Source organism: Homo sapiens, chromosome 19 (genome assembly GCF_000001405.40).
Source record: "Homo sapiens chromosome 19, GRCh38.p14 Primary Assembly".
Taxonomy (NCBI): Eukaryota; Metazoa; Chordata; class Mammalia; order Primates; family Hominidae; genus Homo; species Homo sapiens.
Genome location: NC_000019.10, coordinates 23,990,487 through 24,007,391, shown reverse-complemented (window position 1 = coordinate 24,007,391; position 16,905 = coordinate 23,990,487). Strand labels below are relative to the sequence as shown.

The 16,905-nt window shown below is 45.3% G+C and overlaps 2 pseudogenes, besides 4 other annotated features; both read left to right on the top strand.

Moving 5' to 3' along the window:
• RNA5-8SP4 (RNA, 5.8S ribosomal pseudogene 4) lies at window positions 2,885–3,034 on the top strand (annotated as a pseudogene).
• On the top strand, window positions 3,986–8,198 carry LOC110467531 (RNA, 28S ribosomal pseudogene; annotated as a pseudogene).
• Window positions 4,511–4,805: a silencer, noted in NCBI's record as "tiled region #3900; K562 Repressive non-DNase unmatched - State 23:Low". NCBI's record gives its function as "represses a minimal TATA promoter and a strong SV40 promoter by Sharpr-MPRA in K562 cells {active_cell/tissue: K562}" and the evidence as "EXISTENCE:reporter gene assay evidence [ECO:0000049][PMID:27701403]".
• Window positions 5,571–5,865: a silencer, noted in NCBI's record as "tiled region #11751; HepG2 Repressive DNase matched - State 24:Quies, and K562 Repressive DNase unmatched - State 23:Low". NCBI's record gives its function as "represses a minimal TATA promoter and a strong SV40 promoter by Sharpr-MPRA in HepG2 and K562 cells {active_cell/tissue: HepG2 | K562}" and the evidence as "EXISTENCE:reporter gene assay evidence [ECO:0000049][PMID:27701403]".
• Window positions 5,571–6,165: a biological region, named in NCBI's record as "Sharpr-MPRA regulatory regions 11764 and 11751".
• Window positions 5,871–6,165: a silencer, noted in NCBI's record as "tiled region #11764; HepG2 Repressive DNase matched - State 24:Quies". NCBI's record gives its function as "represses a minimal TATA promoter and a strong SV40 promoter by Sharpr-MPRA in HepG2 cells {active_cell/tissue: HepG2}" and the evidence as "EXISTENCE:reporter gene assay evidence [ECO:0000049][PMID:27701403]".

Sequence of the window (16,905 nt, the reverse complement as noted above, 5' to 3'; positions counted from 1 at the left end):
GACAGAGTCTCGCTCTGTCACCCAGGCTGGAGTGCAGTGGCACAATCTCCACTCACTGCAAGCTCCGCCTCCTGGGTTCATGCCATTCTCCTGCCTCAGCCTCCCGAGTAGCTGGGACTATACGTGTGTGCCCAACTAATTTTTGTCTGTCCCCTGCCACAGCCAATAGTGCTGCAGTAGATTTATGCTGCACAAAAGCTGTGAGCCTTCTGCCTGGGGAACCCTTGCAAAAGTTCCCAACAGGAGTCTGTGGACCCTTGACAGTGGGGAGGATAGGATTGCTTCTAGGTAGGTCTAGTTTCAATTTAAAAGGAGTGCAAATACATACAGGAGTCATTGATTCAGATTACAATGGAGAAATTCAAATTGTTATATCTACTTCTGTTCCCTGGAAAGCAGAGCCAGGAGAGCACATAACACAGCTCCTGATTGTGCCATATGTGGAAATGGGGAAAAGTGAAATTAAATGAACAGGAGGATTTGGAAGCACAAATAAACAAGGCAAAGCAGCTTATTGGGTGAATCAAATTACTGATAAACATCCTACCTGTGAAATAACTATTCAGGGAAAGAAGTGTAAAGGTTTGGCAGATACAGGAGAAGACATTTCAATCATTTCTCTAAAGCACTGGCCGTCCACATGGCCAATTCAACCCACTCAATTTAACATAGTTGGACTTGGTAAAGCCCTTGAGGTATATCAAAGTAGCTATATTTTACATAGTGAAGGGCCCGATGGACAATCTGGGACTATTCAACCAATTATAACTTCTGTACCTATAAATTTGTGGGGGAGAGATTTATTACAACAATGGGGAGCACAAGTTCTAATTCCAGAACAATTATATAGCCCTCAAAGTCAGCATATGATGCATGAAATAGGGTATGTCCCTGGTGTGGGACTAGAAGAATTTTGCAAGGTTTGAAGGAACTGCTTCAAGCAGGAAGAAAAGTTCCCTCCAAGGTTTAGGATATCATTTTTGATGGTGGCCATTGTTAAGCCTCCAAAACCTATGCCTTTAAAATGGTTAACAGATAAGCCAATTTGGATAGAACAATGGCCGCTGAGTAAAGAGAAACTGGAGACTTTAGAAGACTTAATTACTGAACAATTAGAAAAAGGACACACAGCTCCAACATTTTCCCCTTGGAATTCTCCAGTTTTCGTAATTAAGAAAAAATCAGGTAAATGGAGAATGTTAATTGACTTAAGAGCCATTAATTCAGTTATACAACCTATGGGGGAATTGCAGCCAGGATTGCCTTCTCCTGCTATGATTTGGAAAAATTGGCCTTTAATAATCATAGATTTAAAAGACTTTCTTTTCTATCCCCTTAGCTGAGCAAGACTGTGAATGGTTTGCATTCATGATTCCTGTTGTAAACAACCTGCAGCCTGCTAGGCATTTTCACTGGAAAGTGTTGCCACAAGGCATGTTAAACAGTTCAACAATTTGCCAGACTTATGTAGGGCAAGCAATTGAACCTACTGGTAAAAAACTTTCAGTGTTACATTATTCATCAGATGGATGATATATTTTGTGGTGCCCCCACTCAAGAAATATTATTCCAATGTTATGATTACTTGCAAAATTCAATTTCTCATGCTGGTTTAATTATAGCTCCTGACAAAATTCAGACTACTAATCTTTACTCTTACTTGGGGACCTTAGTAAATGACACTACCATTGTGCCACAGAAAGTAACCATACATAGGGATCAACTGAAAACATTTAATGACTTTCAAAAATTACTAGGGACATTAATTGGATACGACTTGCTCTAGACATTCCTACCTATGCCATGAGTAATCTATTTTCCATCCTTAGAGGAGGTCCTAGTCTCACTTGCCCTCAGCAATTAACAAAGGAGGCTGAGGTCGAGTTACAGCTAATCAAAAAGCAAGTCCATAAGGCTCAAATAAATAGAATAGATCCAGAGAAGACTCTAGATTTGCTAATTTTTCCAACTCAGCATTCACCTACTGGTGTTATTGTTCAAGAGCAAGATCTTGTAGAGTGGCTTTTCATTCCACATACTCATTCATGGACTTTGACTCCTTATTTGGATCAAATCACTATTATGAGAGGAAATGGTGTATATATACAACATTTTCTTTATCCAGTCTGTCATTGATGGCATTTAGGTTGACCATATCTTGCTATTGTATAGTGCTGGAATGAACATTTGAATGCATGGGTCTCTATGGTAAAATAATTTACATTTCTCTGGATATATATGCAGTAATGGGATGGCTAGCAGAGCTATCAAATGGTAGTTCTGCTTTTAGCTCCTTGAAAAATCACCTAACTGCTTTTCACAATGGCTGAACTAATTTACACTCCCACCAACAGGGTATAAGTCTTCCCTTTTCTCCACAACCTCACCAGAATTTATTTTTTCACCCTTTAATTATATCCATTCTGACTGGTATGAGATGGTATCTCATTGTGTTTTTTTCATTTCTCTAATGATCAGTGATGTTGAGCTTTTATTCGTATGCTTGTTGAGCACATGCATGCCTTCTTTTAAGAAGTGTCTATGTTTTTTGCTCACTTTTTAATGGAGTTGTTTGTTTTTCTCCTGTCATTGCCATGGTTGCAGCTGCTGAGTGGGGGCTTACCTGGTGGCCATCGTGCCATTGTGTGTGCTGCCCATGTTGGGCTCTGCGTTGTCAGGGGTGGGAACCCCCTGGCAACTGTTGGGTGTCTGTGCTCACCCCTGTGGGGGTGGTGTGCATGCCCCTGTGGTGAAACCTTCCAACCCCTCTGAGAGTTCTGTCTCAGTGCTGTCTCATTGGCTGACCTGAGGCAATCCCTTCGGGGATGTGCTGTGCCAGGAGGGCCTCCCGGTGTTGGGAGTCCCTCACCAAAGAACTTTGTGAAACTCTTAGCGGTGGATCACTCCACTCCTGCATTGATGAAGAATGCAGCCAGCTGTGAGAATTAATGTGAGTTGCAGGACACACTGATCATCATTTCAAATGCACTTGTGACTCCGTGTTCCTCCCAGGGCTACACCTGTCTGAGTCATCACTTGCTGAGCAATCATCCCAAGGGGTGCTTCTGGCCTCCCAGGGGTGCATGGCTGGCGGTTCCCTTGCAGGGCTCGTTGGCCCCTCTGTCCTCCCAAGTACAGGCCTTGTGGTGCCCCCCTCCTTTTCCATTAGCACCTTCCTCCCACCTCCCATTCATCCATGCAAACCCTGTGAGGGACCACGTGGTGGGGGAAGGAGCCTTGGTTAGGAGGGATCCCACTGCCTGTGAGAGGAAGGAAAAGAGCCGGCTGGGGCCGAGTTCCTGTGGCTGCCACAGTCCGGGTTCCCCTAGAGAGCTCCCTCGTGCTGCAAGCGGTCCAGGGTTCGCCTGGGCCTGGGCAAAATGTCCTGTGCTGTCCTACATTGGCGGGTGGGGGGTGGGGAAGGTTGGGGGGGTGGAAAGCAAGATTTCATCCCGGTCGCCACAGTTCACCGCCCACCACAGTTTACCGCCCGCCCCGGTGGCAGCCTGGTGTCCGGCCAAATGCTGCTCCTCCCTGCACCCTCCTCCTCTCCCACCCAGCCTGCTGTGCACTTCTGGGGCCAGAAGTCTGCCCTGCGTGACCCCCCCGGTCGGGGTCAAGGCCAAGCTGCGTGCTGGCGGTGCCCTGGTGGTGACTCATGGGACACCATGGCAGCATCCGCCATTGTGTGCTTGCCTCTGGTTCATGGCTGTGCCGCCCGTGTGGCCCCCTTGAGCTTCCGCATTGGGGGGGGGTGGAAGCACATCCTCAGTCGCAGTCCTCTGGACGGTGAGGGTACTGTGTATTCCCTGCCCCTAGTTCTTGCTTCTCCCTCCCGTCATCCGGCTCTGGTGCGGCAGGGACGCCGTCAGCCGCAGCTCTTCTCTGTCACCCCCGCCCCCCTCCCTCACTGGGCCTGTCTCCCAACCGAGTGTCCAGGCTCGCATCCTCCATGCCCGCCCGTCTCTTCCTTTATTCCAAGACGCGACCTCAGGCTAGAGGTGGCAACCTGCTGAATTTAAGCATATTAGTCAGCGGAGAAAATGGAACTAACCAGGATGCCCTTAGTAAAGTTAGGTGAACAGTGATCCCAGTGCCAAATCCCTGCCCCTTGGTAGGGTGCGGGAAATGTGGCGTATGGAAGACTCACTCCCCAACGCCACTTGTGGGGGCCCAAGTCCTTCTGATTGAGGCCCAGCCAGCCTGTGGACGGTGTGAGGCCATTAGCAGCCCCTGGCTGCCACGCCTGGGTCTTTCCAGAGTCGGGTTGCTTGGGAATGCAACCTCAAGCTGGTGGCAAACTCTATCTAAGGTTAAATACTGGCTCAAGAGACAATAGTCAACAAGTACTGTAAGGGAAAGTTGAAAAGAACTTTGAAGACGCAGTTCAAGAGGGCGTGAAACCGTTAAGACTTAAATGTGTGGGATCCATGCAGTCTGATGGAAGATTCAAACAGGCGGCGGGTCGGGCTGTGCCAGTGGTCTGGCGGATCTTTCCTGCCTCCCGTTCCTCCCGACCCCTCCAACCGCCCTCCCTCCTCGGCCACCCCTCCTCCTCCTTGGAGGTGGCGGGCCCCAGCAGGTGCGGAGGTGGGTGGGTTGGGCAGGCGGGGGAGTCCTTGGGGACTGTCCTCCAGACGGCGACTGGCCACCGCCAGATGCATTTCCACTGTGGTGCTGCGCCGTGACTGGCTCTGGGACGGCTGGAAAGGCCCGGCAGGGAAGGTGGCTCGGGGGGTCATGTCCTCCCCATCCCTCTGGAGGGGGGTGAGCTGGGCCACACCCCGAGTGTTACAGTCCCTCAGCAGTAGCACTCGCAGAATCCCGGGACTGAGGTAGTGAGACCTGTTGCCCTGCTCTCCCCTTCCCTGCTCCCACCCCAGTGGGAGCCCCCCATGAGGGGATCCCCCGTGGGGGCATGACAGCGTCCCTCTAGGGGGCTGGGCCACCCCTCCCACGGTGTAACTACTCTACCACCCCTTCCCTGCCCCCAGCGAGTAGGCCGCATGTGAGGGGCAGGGGCTGACTGTGGTGTGCCCCAGGCTGGTTGTGCTGTCGGGTCTGGGGGGACTCTTCGGCCATGCACTCATTTCAAAAGAACAGTGGAAGAAGTGCACGAGGCCGGTGGCGCTGTTGGCTACCCACATGACCCATCTTGAAACATGGTCCAAAGGGTCTAACACGTGTGCGAGTCAGGGGCTCGCACGAAAGCCACTGTGGCGCAATGAAGGTGAAGGCTGATGCGCTGGCTGGCTGAGGCGGGATCCTGAGGCCTCTCCAGTTTGCCAAGGGAGCACCACCGTCCACTCTCGCCCACTGTGCTGGGCAGGTGGAGAATGAGCGCTTGTGTTAGGCACCAAAAGATGATAAACTATGCCTGGGCAGGGCGAAGCGAGAGGAAACTCTGGTGGGGGTCTGTAGTGGTCCTGACGTGCAAATCGGTCATCTGATCTGGGTATAGGGGCAAAAGACTAATCCAACCATCTAGTAGCTGGTTCCCTCTGAAGTTTTCCTAAGGATAACGGGCGCTCTCGCAAAAACCCCATGCCACGCAGTTATTTGGTAAAGCGAATGATTAGGGGTCTTGGAGTCAAAATGATCTCAACCAATTCTCAAACTTTAAATGGGTTAGAAGCCCAGCTCGATGGCATGGGGCCAGGTATGAAATGCGAGTGCCTAGCGGGCAACTTTTGGTAAGCAGAACTGCTGCTGTGGGATGAACCAAATGCCATGTTAGGGTGCCTGATGCTGATGCCCATTAGACCCCAGAAAATGTGTTGGTTGATATAGACAGCAGGACGGTGGGCATGGAAGTCAGAATCCACTAAGGAGTGTTTAACAACAAAGAATCAACTCGCCCTGAAAAATGGATGGTACTGAAACATTGGGCCCATACCCGGCCATTGCCAGCAGTTGAGAGTGGATGGGAGTGGTGAGGGTGGTCGCTCCCGCTGGAGCCCCGAGGATGCTATGCTGCTATGAGTGGGAGGACCGCTGCAATGAGCCTTGAAGCCTTGGGCATGAGCCTGGGTGGAGCTGTCCCAGGTGCAGATCTTGGTGGTAGTAGCAAATATTCAAATGAGAACTTTGAAGGCCGAAGTGGAGAAGGGTTCCAGTTGAAGATGGGTCACTCGGTCCCCAGAGATAGGAGAGTGCCATTCCGAAGGGATGGATGATGACTTCCATTGCCCTCAGCCAATGGAAACGGAGTCAAGTTCAGATTTCTGAATCCGGAGTGGCAGAGATGGGCACCATGAGGCATTCAGGGAGGTAATGGAAGTGATCCTGGAGAAGCTGGTGGGAGCCCAGGGGAGAGTTCTTTTTGTGAAGAGCAGGGCACCCTGTAGTGGATTCACCCTTAGAGAGAGGTCTGTGCCTTGGAAAGAATCATAGATCAGGAGGCACCTGGTGAGCTCTCACAGGCCCTTGAAAATCTGGGGGAGAGGGTGTAAATCTCACACCAGGCTGTAACCATATCCACAGCAGGTCTCCAAGGTAAACAGCCTCTGGCATGTTAGAACAATGTAGGTAAGGGAAATCAGCAAGCTGGATCAGTAAGTTCAGGGTAAGAATTTGCTCTAAGGGCTTTGCCAGTCTGGCTGGGGCTTGAAATGGGGCTGGGTGCAGGCAGTGGCTGGATGAGGTGCTGTACTCCACCCCTCAACGCTAGCGGCACCCCTCTGCAGACATCCTCCACCCACCTTGCCATACCTTCCTCTTCCCTATCCCTGCCCACCTTGCTATTGCCACTTCCTAGCAGCCTTCTTAGAACTGATGCAGACCAGGGGAATCTGACTTTTTAAAACAAAGCATGGTGAAGGCCTATGGTGGGTGTTGACACAACGTGAATTCTACCCAGTGCTCTGAATGTCAAAATGAAGAAATTCAATGAAGCACGAGTAAATGGCAGGAGTAAATATGTCTCTCTTAAGTGTAGCCAAATGCCTCATCATCTAATTAGTGACTCATATGAATGGATGGACAAGATTCCCACTGTTCCTACCTGCTATCCAGTGAAACCACAGCCAAAGGAATGGGCTTGACAGAATCAGCAGGGAACAAAGACTCTGTTGAGACTGACTCTAGTCTGGTATGGTGAAGAGACATGAGAGGTGTAGAATAAGTGAAAGGCCCCAGCACCCCTCTGTTTCTCTGAGGAGATGGGGTGAGGTCCACTGGCCTTGTGGGCTGCCGGTGAAATTCCACTACCCTGATCATTTTTTCACTGACCTGGTGAAGTTGGGGCTGGGGAGGAAAGCCAAAAGGGGCTCACTTTTGGCGCCAAGCACCTGGCCACATGCTGGCTGGATGTTAACTGGTCCTGGAATAGTGCCAAGTGCAGAGTCGGACTGGTGCGGTACACCTGTCAAACAGTAATGCAGGTGTCTGAAGGTGAGTGCAGGGAGTACCAAAACCTCCTGTGGAGCAGAAGGGCAGAAGTTGCTTGATCTTGATTTTCAGTATGAATACAGACCGGGAAAGCAGGGCCTCATGATCCTTTTGACGTTTTGGTTGGGTTTTAAGCAAGACGTGTCAGAGAAGATACCAGATGGTTGACCAGATGGCCCTCAGCTGCTATGATTGAAGTCGACCAGACGGCTCTTGCTTTGCCATGTCTGAGGTGGACAAGGGATAACTGCCTTGCAGTGGCCAAGAGTTCATAGCGACATCGCTTTTTGATCCTTTGGTGTTGGATCTTCCTATTGTGAAACAGAATTCACCAAGCGTTGGATGGTTCACCCAATAGCAGGGAACCTGAGCTTGGTTTAGAACGTCATGAGACAGGTTAGTTTTATACAACAGTCTTTTAAACAAGGGTCTTCCCATCTCGGCCTCACAAGTACCTGGGACTACTGGGAACTTATTCCTCTGTATTTTTTCTAACCACAATTTCAGTTTGTTTCCACGATACTTAGAGTAACTTGCTGTAATTTTTCATTGTTCTTTTCTCTCTCTATTCTTGTATGCTCCTTCCTACACACTGAAGTTGACCTTTGGTTTATTTTTTGTCACAGTTCACACTGGTTGTGACAAACAGACACACACACACACACAGTGAGAGAGAGAGAGATAGGAGTTCTCAATTGTGGTATTAAATACCTTTTATTATTGTTAACTTCAGCTTAATTATTTCATCTTTAAGATTGTTGTTATTTGTTTGATATTGTGATATACTTACTTTTGGTTTTTTTTTTTGATACAGTTGTCAGCCACAAGCCTTGGATTTAGCCACCAGCTTGCCATGACTAAGTTCGGCCAGATGGCTCTCACCTTGCCATATCTGAGGTCCACCACATGGCTCTCACTTTGCCATATGTAAGGTAGATTAGATGGTGCTCACCTTCCCATGTCATGTTTTATTTTTTGTCACACTTCACCCTTCCGTTTGGTGTCACAAACAAAAAGAGAGAGAGAGAAAGACACACACAGAGAGAGGAGTTCTTAATTGTGATATTAATTACCTTTTATTATTGTTCACTCCCACCTTATTTGGGTTTTAATATTGTTTGATATTATATATATAGTTGATTTTTAAATTTATTTTGATACAGATGTCAGCCTCAAGCACTGAAATAGCCACCAGCTTGCCATGTCTAAGTTCCACCAGATAACTCTCACCTTGCAATTTCTAAGATTGACTAGCTGGACTTGCCTTCCTATTTTTGGGGTTGACCAGATGGCCCTCAGCTTCCATGATTGAAGTCGACCAGATGGCTCTTGCCTTGCCATGTCTAGGTGGACAAGATGGTTCTCACCCTTCCCTGTCTAAGGTGGACCAGATGACTTTCGCCTTGCCATGTCTAAGGTCAACCAGATGGCTCTCACCTTGCCACGTGTGAGGTCAACAAGATGGCTCTCACCTTGCCATGTGTGAGTGGACAAGATAGCTCTCACCATGCCATCCCTAAGGACGATGAGATGGCTTTCACCTTGCCATGTTTGAGGGCTTCCTGATGGCTCTTGCCTTGCCATGTCTGAGGTCAACGAGATAGTTCTTGCCTTGCCATGTCACATGTCCAGATGGCTCTCACCTTGCCATTTCTGAGGTGGGCCAGATGGCCCTCGCCCTGCCCTGTCTTAGGTCGACCAGATGGCTCTTGCCTTGCCATGTCTAAGGTCAGCCAAATGGCTTTTGTGTTCCCATGTTTGAGGTTGACATGATGGCTCTCACCTTGCCGTGTCTAAGGTGGCCAAGATGGCTCTCACCATGCCATGTTTGAGGTCGACAAGATCACTCTTGCTTTGCTGTGTCTGAGGTCAACCAGATGCCACTCTGCCATGTCTGAGTTCGACCAGATGGCTTTCATCTTTTCATGTCTCAGGTCGACCAGACAGTTCTCCTCTTGCCATGTCTGTGGTCCACAAGAAGGCTCTAGCCTGGCCATGTCTGAAATTGCCCAGACAGTTCTCGCTTTGCCATGTCTACAGTCTACCACAGGGCATTTGCTTCGGTATGTCTAAGGTCGACCAGATGGCTCTCACTTTTCCATATCTGAGATCGACCAGATGGCTTTCACCTTGTCATGTCTCAGGTCGACCAGATGGCTCTTGCCTTTTCATGTCTGAGGTTGACCACATGGCTCTTGCCTTGCCATGTCTGAAGTCGACTAGATGGCTCTCCTCTTGCCATGGCTGAGGTCGACCAGAGGGCTTTCGCCTTGCCATGTCTAAGGTTGACAAGATGGCTCTCACCTTGTAATGTCTGAGGTGGAGACATGACAAATGGCTCTTGCTTTTTCATGTCTAAGGTCGACCAGATGGCTCGCACCGGCGGCAGTGCTGTTCAAGTCCAACAGAGAGATGGGATTGTGATTCACTGCAGCCTCGATCTTCCCAGTCTCATCCAGGTGATCTTCCCATCTCAGCCAGAAGCATTGGAATGAGTCCACAGCTTGCCATGCCTAAGGTCAACCAGATGGCTCTCACCTTCCAATATCTAAGGTCGACCAGATGGCTCTCACCTTCCCATGTCTAAGGTCGACCAGATGGCTATCGCCTTGCTATGTCTGAAGTCGAACGGATGGTTCTCGCCTTCCCACGTCTAAGGCCGTCCAGATGGCTCTGGCTGGCGGCAGTATCATTCAGGTCCAGCAGAAAGATGTGATTGTGATTCACTGCGGCCTCAATCTCCCTGGTCGCACCTGGGTGATCTTTCCAATTGGGCCACCCAAGTACCTGAGAATACATGAACTTTCTTCCTGTGTTGTTTTTCTAACCCCAATTTCAGTTTGTTTCCACAATATTTAGCGTGATTTGCTTTTGTTTTTCTTCGTTGTTCTTTTCTCTCTCTCTTCTCCTATGCTCCTTCTTGCATGCTGACGTTGACGTTTTCATTTATTTTTGGTCACACTCCAGCCTGAGTGTGACAAACGGAGGAGAGAGAGAGATCTTAATTGTGATATTATCTTTCATTATTGTTCACGCCCGCTTATTTATGTATTGGTCTTTAATATTGTTATTATTTGTTATTGTTCTATATTTACTGGTGGTTTTAAAAATTTATTTTGAGACACAAGTTGGCTGCAAGCATTGGAATTAGCCGCCAGCTTGCCAGGTCTAAGGTCGATCAGATGGCTCTCGCCTTCCCACGCCTAAGGTTGACCAGACGGATCTCACTAGTGGCAGTACCATTTATGTCCAGGAGAGGGATGCAATCGTGATTCACTGGATCCTCAATCTCCCCAGTCTCCCTCAGGTGGTCTTCCCATCTCCGGCTTCCCAAGTACCTGGGACTACTTGGACCTTCCTGTGTTGTTTTTCTAACCTCAATTTCAGTTTGTTTCCACAATATTTAGAGTGACTTGCTGTTGTTTTTCTTCTTTGTTATTTTCTTTCTCTGTTTCTTTATGTTCCTTCCTGCACAGTGACCTTTTGATTTATTTTTGTCACAATCCAGCCTTGGTGTGACAAACCAAGAGAGAGAGAAACAAGGAGGGAGAGAGAGAGAAAGAGAGACAGAGTGAGGAGATCTTAATTTTGACATTAATTACCTTTCACCATTGTTCACTTTCACTTTTTTATGTATTGGTCTTTAATATTGTTTTTATTCTTCGTTATTGTTATATATTTACTGTTGGTTTTTAAATTTATTTTAAGATGGATATCGGCCAGAAGCGTTGGGCTTATCTGCTAGTTTGCCATGTCTAAGGTCTACCAGATGGCTCTCACCTTCTCATGTCTAAAATCAACAAAATAGCTCTCACCTTCCTATGTCGAAGATCGACCAGATCGCTCTCGCCTTGCCATGTCTAAAGTCGTCCAGATGGCTCTCGTCTGCCCATATCTTAGGTCTACCAGATGGCTATCGCTGGCGGCAGTACTATTCAGATCCAGCAGAAGGACGCGATCATCATTCACTTCGGCCTCTATCTCCTTGGTCTCGCACAGGTTGTCTTCCCATCTCAGCCTCCCACGTAGCTGGGATGACAGGGTCCTTCTTCCTCTGCTTTTTTTTTTTTTTCCTAACCCTAATTTTAGGTTGTTTTCTCAAAACTTAGAGTTACTTGCCGTTGATTTTCTTCTTTGTTCTTTTCTTTCTCTATTCTCCTATGCTCCTTCCTGCACACTGAAGTTGACTTTTTGGTTTATTTTTTGTCACTCTCCAGCCTGGGTGTGACAAATGGAGAGAGGAAGGAGATCTTAATTGTGATATTAATTACCTTTTACCATTGTTCACTCCCACTTATTTATGTACTGGTCTTTAATATTGTTCGTTATTATTTATTTGTTACTGTTATATATTTACTCATTTTAAAAATTTATTTATTTTGGGACAGATGTCGGCTACAAGCGTTGGACTTAGCCGCCAGCTTGTCATGTCTACGTTCAACCAGATGGCTCTCGCCTTTCCATGTCTAAGGTCGACCAGATGGCTCTCACCAGCAGCAGTACAGTTCAGGCTCAGAAGAGAAATGCGATCGTGATTCATTGTGGCATCAATCTCCCCTGTCTTGCCTGGTGGTCTTCCCATCTCGGCCTCTCGAGTCCGTGCGACAGATAGAACCTTACTTTTCTCTCTTTCTTTTTTTTTCTCTAACTACAATTTCAGTTTGTTTCTACAATACTTAGGATGACTTGCTGTTATTTTTCTTCTTTGTTCTTTTTTCTCTCTATTCTCCTATGCTCCTTCCTGCATGCTGAAGTTGACATTTTGGTTTATATTTTTTCACACTCAAGCCTGGGTGTGACAAACAGAGAGAGAAAGAGAGAGAGACCTTAATTGTGATATTAATTACCTTTTACTATTGTTCACTCCCACTTATTTATGTATTGGTTTTTAATTATTATATCTTTGTTATTGTTATATATTTACTGTTGGCTTTTTAATTTGAGACAGATGTTGGCTGAAAGCATTGGACTTAGCTGCCAGCTTGCCATGTCTAAGGTCAACCAGATGGGTCTCGCCTTGCCATGTCTAAGGTCAACCAGATAAATCTCACTGGCAGCAGTACCGTTCAGGTCCAGGAGAAGGATGCAATCATGATTCACTGTGGCCTTGACCTCCCTGGTCTCTCCCAGGTGCTCTTCCCATCTCGGCCTCCTGAGTACCTGGCACTACTCAGACCTTCTTCCTGTTTTTTTTTTCTAACCTGAATTTCGTTTGTTCCCACAATACTTGGAGTGACTTGCTATTGTTTTATCTGTTGTTGTTCTTTTCTATTTCTACACTGTCTATAATACCAAAGGACTTTATACAATATGAATGGCAATCACAATTAACTCTGAGTCCTTCATGCTTGTATGGACCCATGACCATACCTGCTGCCCCAAGCCCAGGTATGAGAGTCAACATCTCTTAAATTGGCTGGGTCCAGATACTGGAGTCCTCACCTGCCTCTTATCTGGGCTTAGAAATATGTCACTAATCCAACTGTGGCTAGGTCTTTACATATTACAGTCAAAATTCCAACTGTGGACTGTATTTGCATGTGAAATTCTGGACCTCAACAGTGAGCTCTTTCCATGAGTGAGGGTGGCAATTCTAATGTTTGGTGGGGTGTGCATATGAGAAACACAATCTCACCTGCATATTGTTCCCTGTGATAACACTATCTGTAACACTCAGGGGCTTTATATGATATGGGAGTCATTTATTGCCAAGCCAAAGATGACCCTTTTAATTCTGGTGAGCACAAAGCCAGAGATTATCTAGCCTCAGCTTAAAGATCCTCACTCAAATTGAAAATGCTGAATAATTCTTTTTAAAGCTTCCAGTATTTCAGGGGCACTATTTGTTGTTGTTGTTGTTGTTGTTGTTTTAAGCGAAAAGGGAATACCATCTTGTCTTTTGGTTTTGTTGGCTAGAGACATGATTTTAGGTAGGAGTTGAAAAGCCAAAGATAGACTGTGATACTGGAATCATATTACAACTTTCTTTTAATGCTTTTTTCTGTAGATTTATATACAGATATAAGATATGTAGATAAATATATTCAAACACACTGGGTCATATAAATATGTCTATGTGATATCTATCTATGAGTTCATCTTATAAAAAAAGGTCCCAAAATATAATAAAGCTGAATCACATATGAGTAAACCAGTCCCAAAATATAAGTAAATCGGTCCTACACAGCCCCCTCAGGAAAGGTGAATGCAATCAGCAAATTGGCTCAGCCCATGTATTTCCAACCAGTAAACTAGCTCAGCCAAGGTGATTCCAGCCAGCCAATTAGCTCAGCTCACATGATTTCAATTAGCCTATTTGTTTAGTTCATGTGGATTCAATCAGCCAATTATGTAAGTGATGACTAAGTATTCATCCAGGCAAGCCCAGGAAGGTAGATGTGAATGATGCATGCATAAAACAAGAAGAAAATAAGTGTTCTTAAGTGCTAATGTGGACAGAAAGTATTACATGGGTTTCCTGTCAGCTTACTTCCCGGTTCTTTTCCCTAAAGGTGAAGCATTGCTTATGTTTATACAAAAACATTGTATAGCTATGTTCCATTCTGGCATGCTACTGAGCCAAAGAGAAGAGAAGTAATTCTACATATGCATTCTTATAATATGCTATGGGATTGAAAATGTCTTTTGGAGTACATTTTTTTTTCTTTCTGAGACGAAGTCTTACTCTGTCAACCAGGCTGGAGTGCAGTGGTGTGATCTCGGCTCACTGCAACCTCTGAATCCCAGGTTCAAGCAACTCTTCTGCCTCAGCCTCTCAAGTAGCTGGGATTACAGGTGCTCGTCACTGCGCCCAGCTAATTTTTTTGTATTTTTTTTCACTATGTTGGCCAGGCTGGTCTTGAATTCCTGACCTCGTGATCTGCCCGCATTTGCCTCCCAAAGTGCTGGGATTACAAGCGTTGGCCACCGTGCCCAGCAATTTTTTGTAAATATAAATAATTACATAGACATATAATTCTGTGAGTGTTTTTATATCTGCCTATGTATATCTGTATACAGATATATTAATCTTTGTATCTATATTGATATAGAATAAATTTATAGAAAGTGAAAGTATTGATAGGTATTGATACTAACAGTAGCAGAAGAAGAAACTTACATACAAGTATAAACTCTTTGCCCTATAAAGTATATCTACAAGAGTACACAAATAAAGATACAGCCTTGCAAACATTCTGCTATATTTATCATTTACAAAGAAAACATTGGTCTTTGTTGCTCACTTCTGAGAGATGAAAATGTCATTCATTCCCATTTTCAGTTTGACCTTTTCCTTTATCTTGTACATAGGGACAGAGATGAACCAGCCCCAGTCCAAAGGTCCTCACCTTAATTTGAGTATACTTATTATTTCTCATTATGGCCTCAGTCAAGACAGGGGCTGTTTATTATTTTCCCAATGCGTGCACGATGTAAAAGTACACTCTTATCTTATCATCTCTGAGGCTGAAATAGGGTTTTTGTGGTAAGAGAGAGAAAGTTTAGGTTACTTTTTAGAAGATAGATTGTGAAACTGAAAGCAAATATAATGGTACATAGTACCTGGCCACATTTTAACCAGGATAGAGTGAACATTCACTGAAATGACAAAGGTAATTCTTACTGGCTCGGCAAAAGCTTCTTTTTGAGGAAAGCTAGGTGACTGGTGTTGAGCATTTCTAGATGTTTCTACCTGAATGTACAGAGCCACTTTGGGCTAACTTAACGAGACCCAGAAAGAAAAACCTCCGTGTTCCAGATAACAAAACACATTTTCACATTTATTTTTAAAATATCAGCTGGTGTGTAGCTTGAATTGAATAAATCATCACTGAACTAATTGGCTGATTGCATTCAAATGGCCTGAAAAAAATTAATATAACCTCTGACCATGCTTACTTTGTGTTATTTTTCTGCACACATATACCTTCATATCAAGTAGGTGGGGGAAATGTACATATATATAAACACAGTGTGGACCCCATGGGTATGGCTATGTAATGTCCATTTGTGCATATGTCTAGTAAAACACTTCAGAAAAAATCTAGATCAGAAGTCATCTTCATTCACTAGCATATCTTCATTCACTAGTTCCCTTAGCACAGCTCAGGTGGATATAATCAGACAACTAGTTAAATTAGGAAGCAGAGGCATCAAGGGAGAACAAAGATGGCACATGTGAATAACACAGAAATACAAACAGAAAGAAAGTAGGGCCCTGAAATGTTAAGATGCACATAAAGCTTCATGTGGCAGTACTGGAAGCTTATATCCAGGCCATGCCCTGAAGTGTGAAGCTTTGTTGATGTATATATGTATGGCTGTCTCTCAGTCTGAGATGGTATGGAGCTATATAGGTGAGAAGTAAAGTCTTCATCTGTGTTTCTAAGATAGGCTGGGGAATTGACAATGTCTCCTGATGAACATTTTTTGCATATACAATTATTTACATAGATAAACTTATATAATCTTGTACGTATATGTTTATTTATCTACTCATGTATATGTAAAGAAAATGGCTTTGCTGCAACCAAGCAGGCATAGGGCAGCAGACATAGGCTGAGGTAAACAGTCTGGATGACTCAGCAGGTTTGTGGCACAGGTGCACAGCTTTGTATAACCACAGCCATGTAGACATAACATAGATAAGCTCACCACCTGGCACTCAGCCACTATTGTTTGTGTAGTGTATAAATGTAACACTGACCCTGTGAAAGGGCTGCTGAATAAAGCATATTCATGTAGACATAACATAGAGAAGCTCACCACCTGGCACTCAGCCACTATTGTTTGTGTAGTGTATAAATGTAACACTGACCCTGTGAAGGGGCTGCTGAATAAAGCCATGTCTCATTTACCTGCTGTCTCTCAAGTGTTCCTCCAGCTCCCTGCCCCACATCCACCCACTCCCCTTGGCTCTCAGCTGGGGATGTAACCTGACCCTGAGCATGACAGTGTATTTCTATCCAGGTCTATCTATCATTATTTCAATATTTATACAGAATAAAGATATAGAATTTCAAAGCATTGATAGGTATTTTTACTGATAGTTATATAAAAATAAATTTCCATACATGTAAAATCTTATTTGTTCGCTAAAGTATATCCACAAGAGTACACAAATGGAAGAATACTCTGATGTGAATTTAGCTGCATTTAACATGTTTAAAGAAAGTATTTTTTGGCTGGGTATGGTGGCTCACAACACACTTTGGGAGGCCAAGACAAGTGAATCATTTGAGGTCAGGAGTTTGAGACCAGCCTGGTCAACATGGTAAAACCCCATCTCTACTAAAAATACAAAAATTAGCTGGGCATGTTGGTGGGCACCTGTAATCCCAGCTACTCAGTAGACTGAGGCAAAAGAATCACTTGAACCCAGATGTCAGAGGTTGCAGTGAGCCGAGATCCTGCCACTGCACTCATGCCTGAGCAACAGAGTGAAACTCTGTAAAAAAAAAAAAAAAAAAAAAAAAAAGAAAAAAATTTTTGTTGCTCCAATCTGTAAGCAAGAAA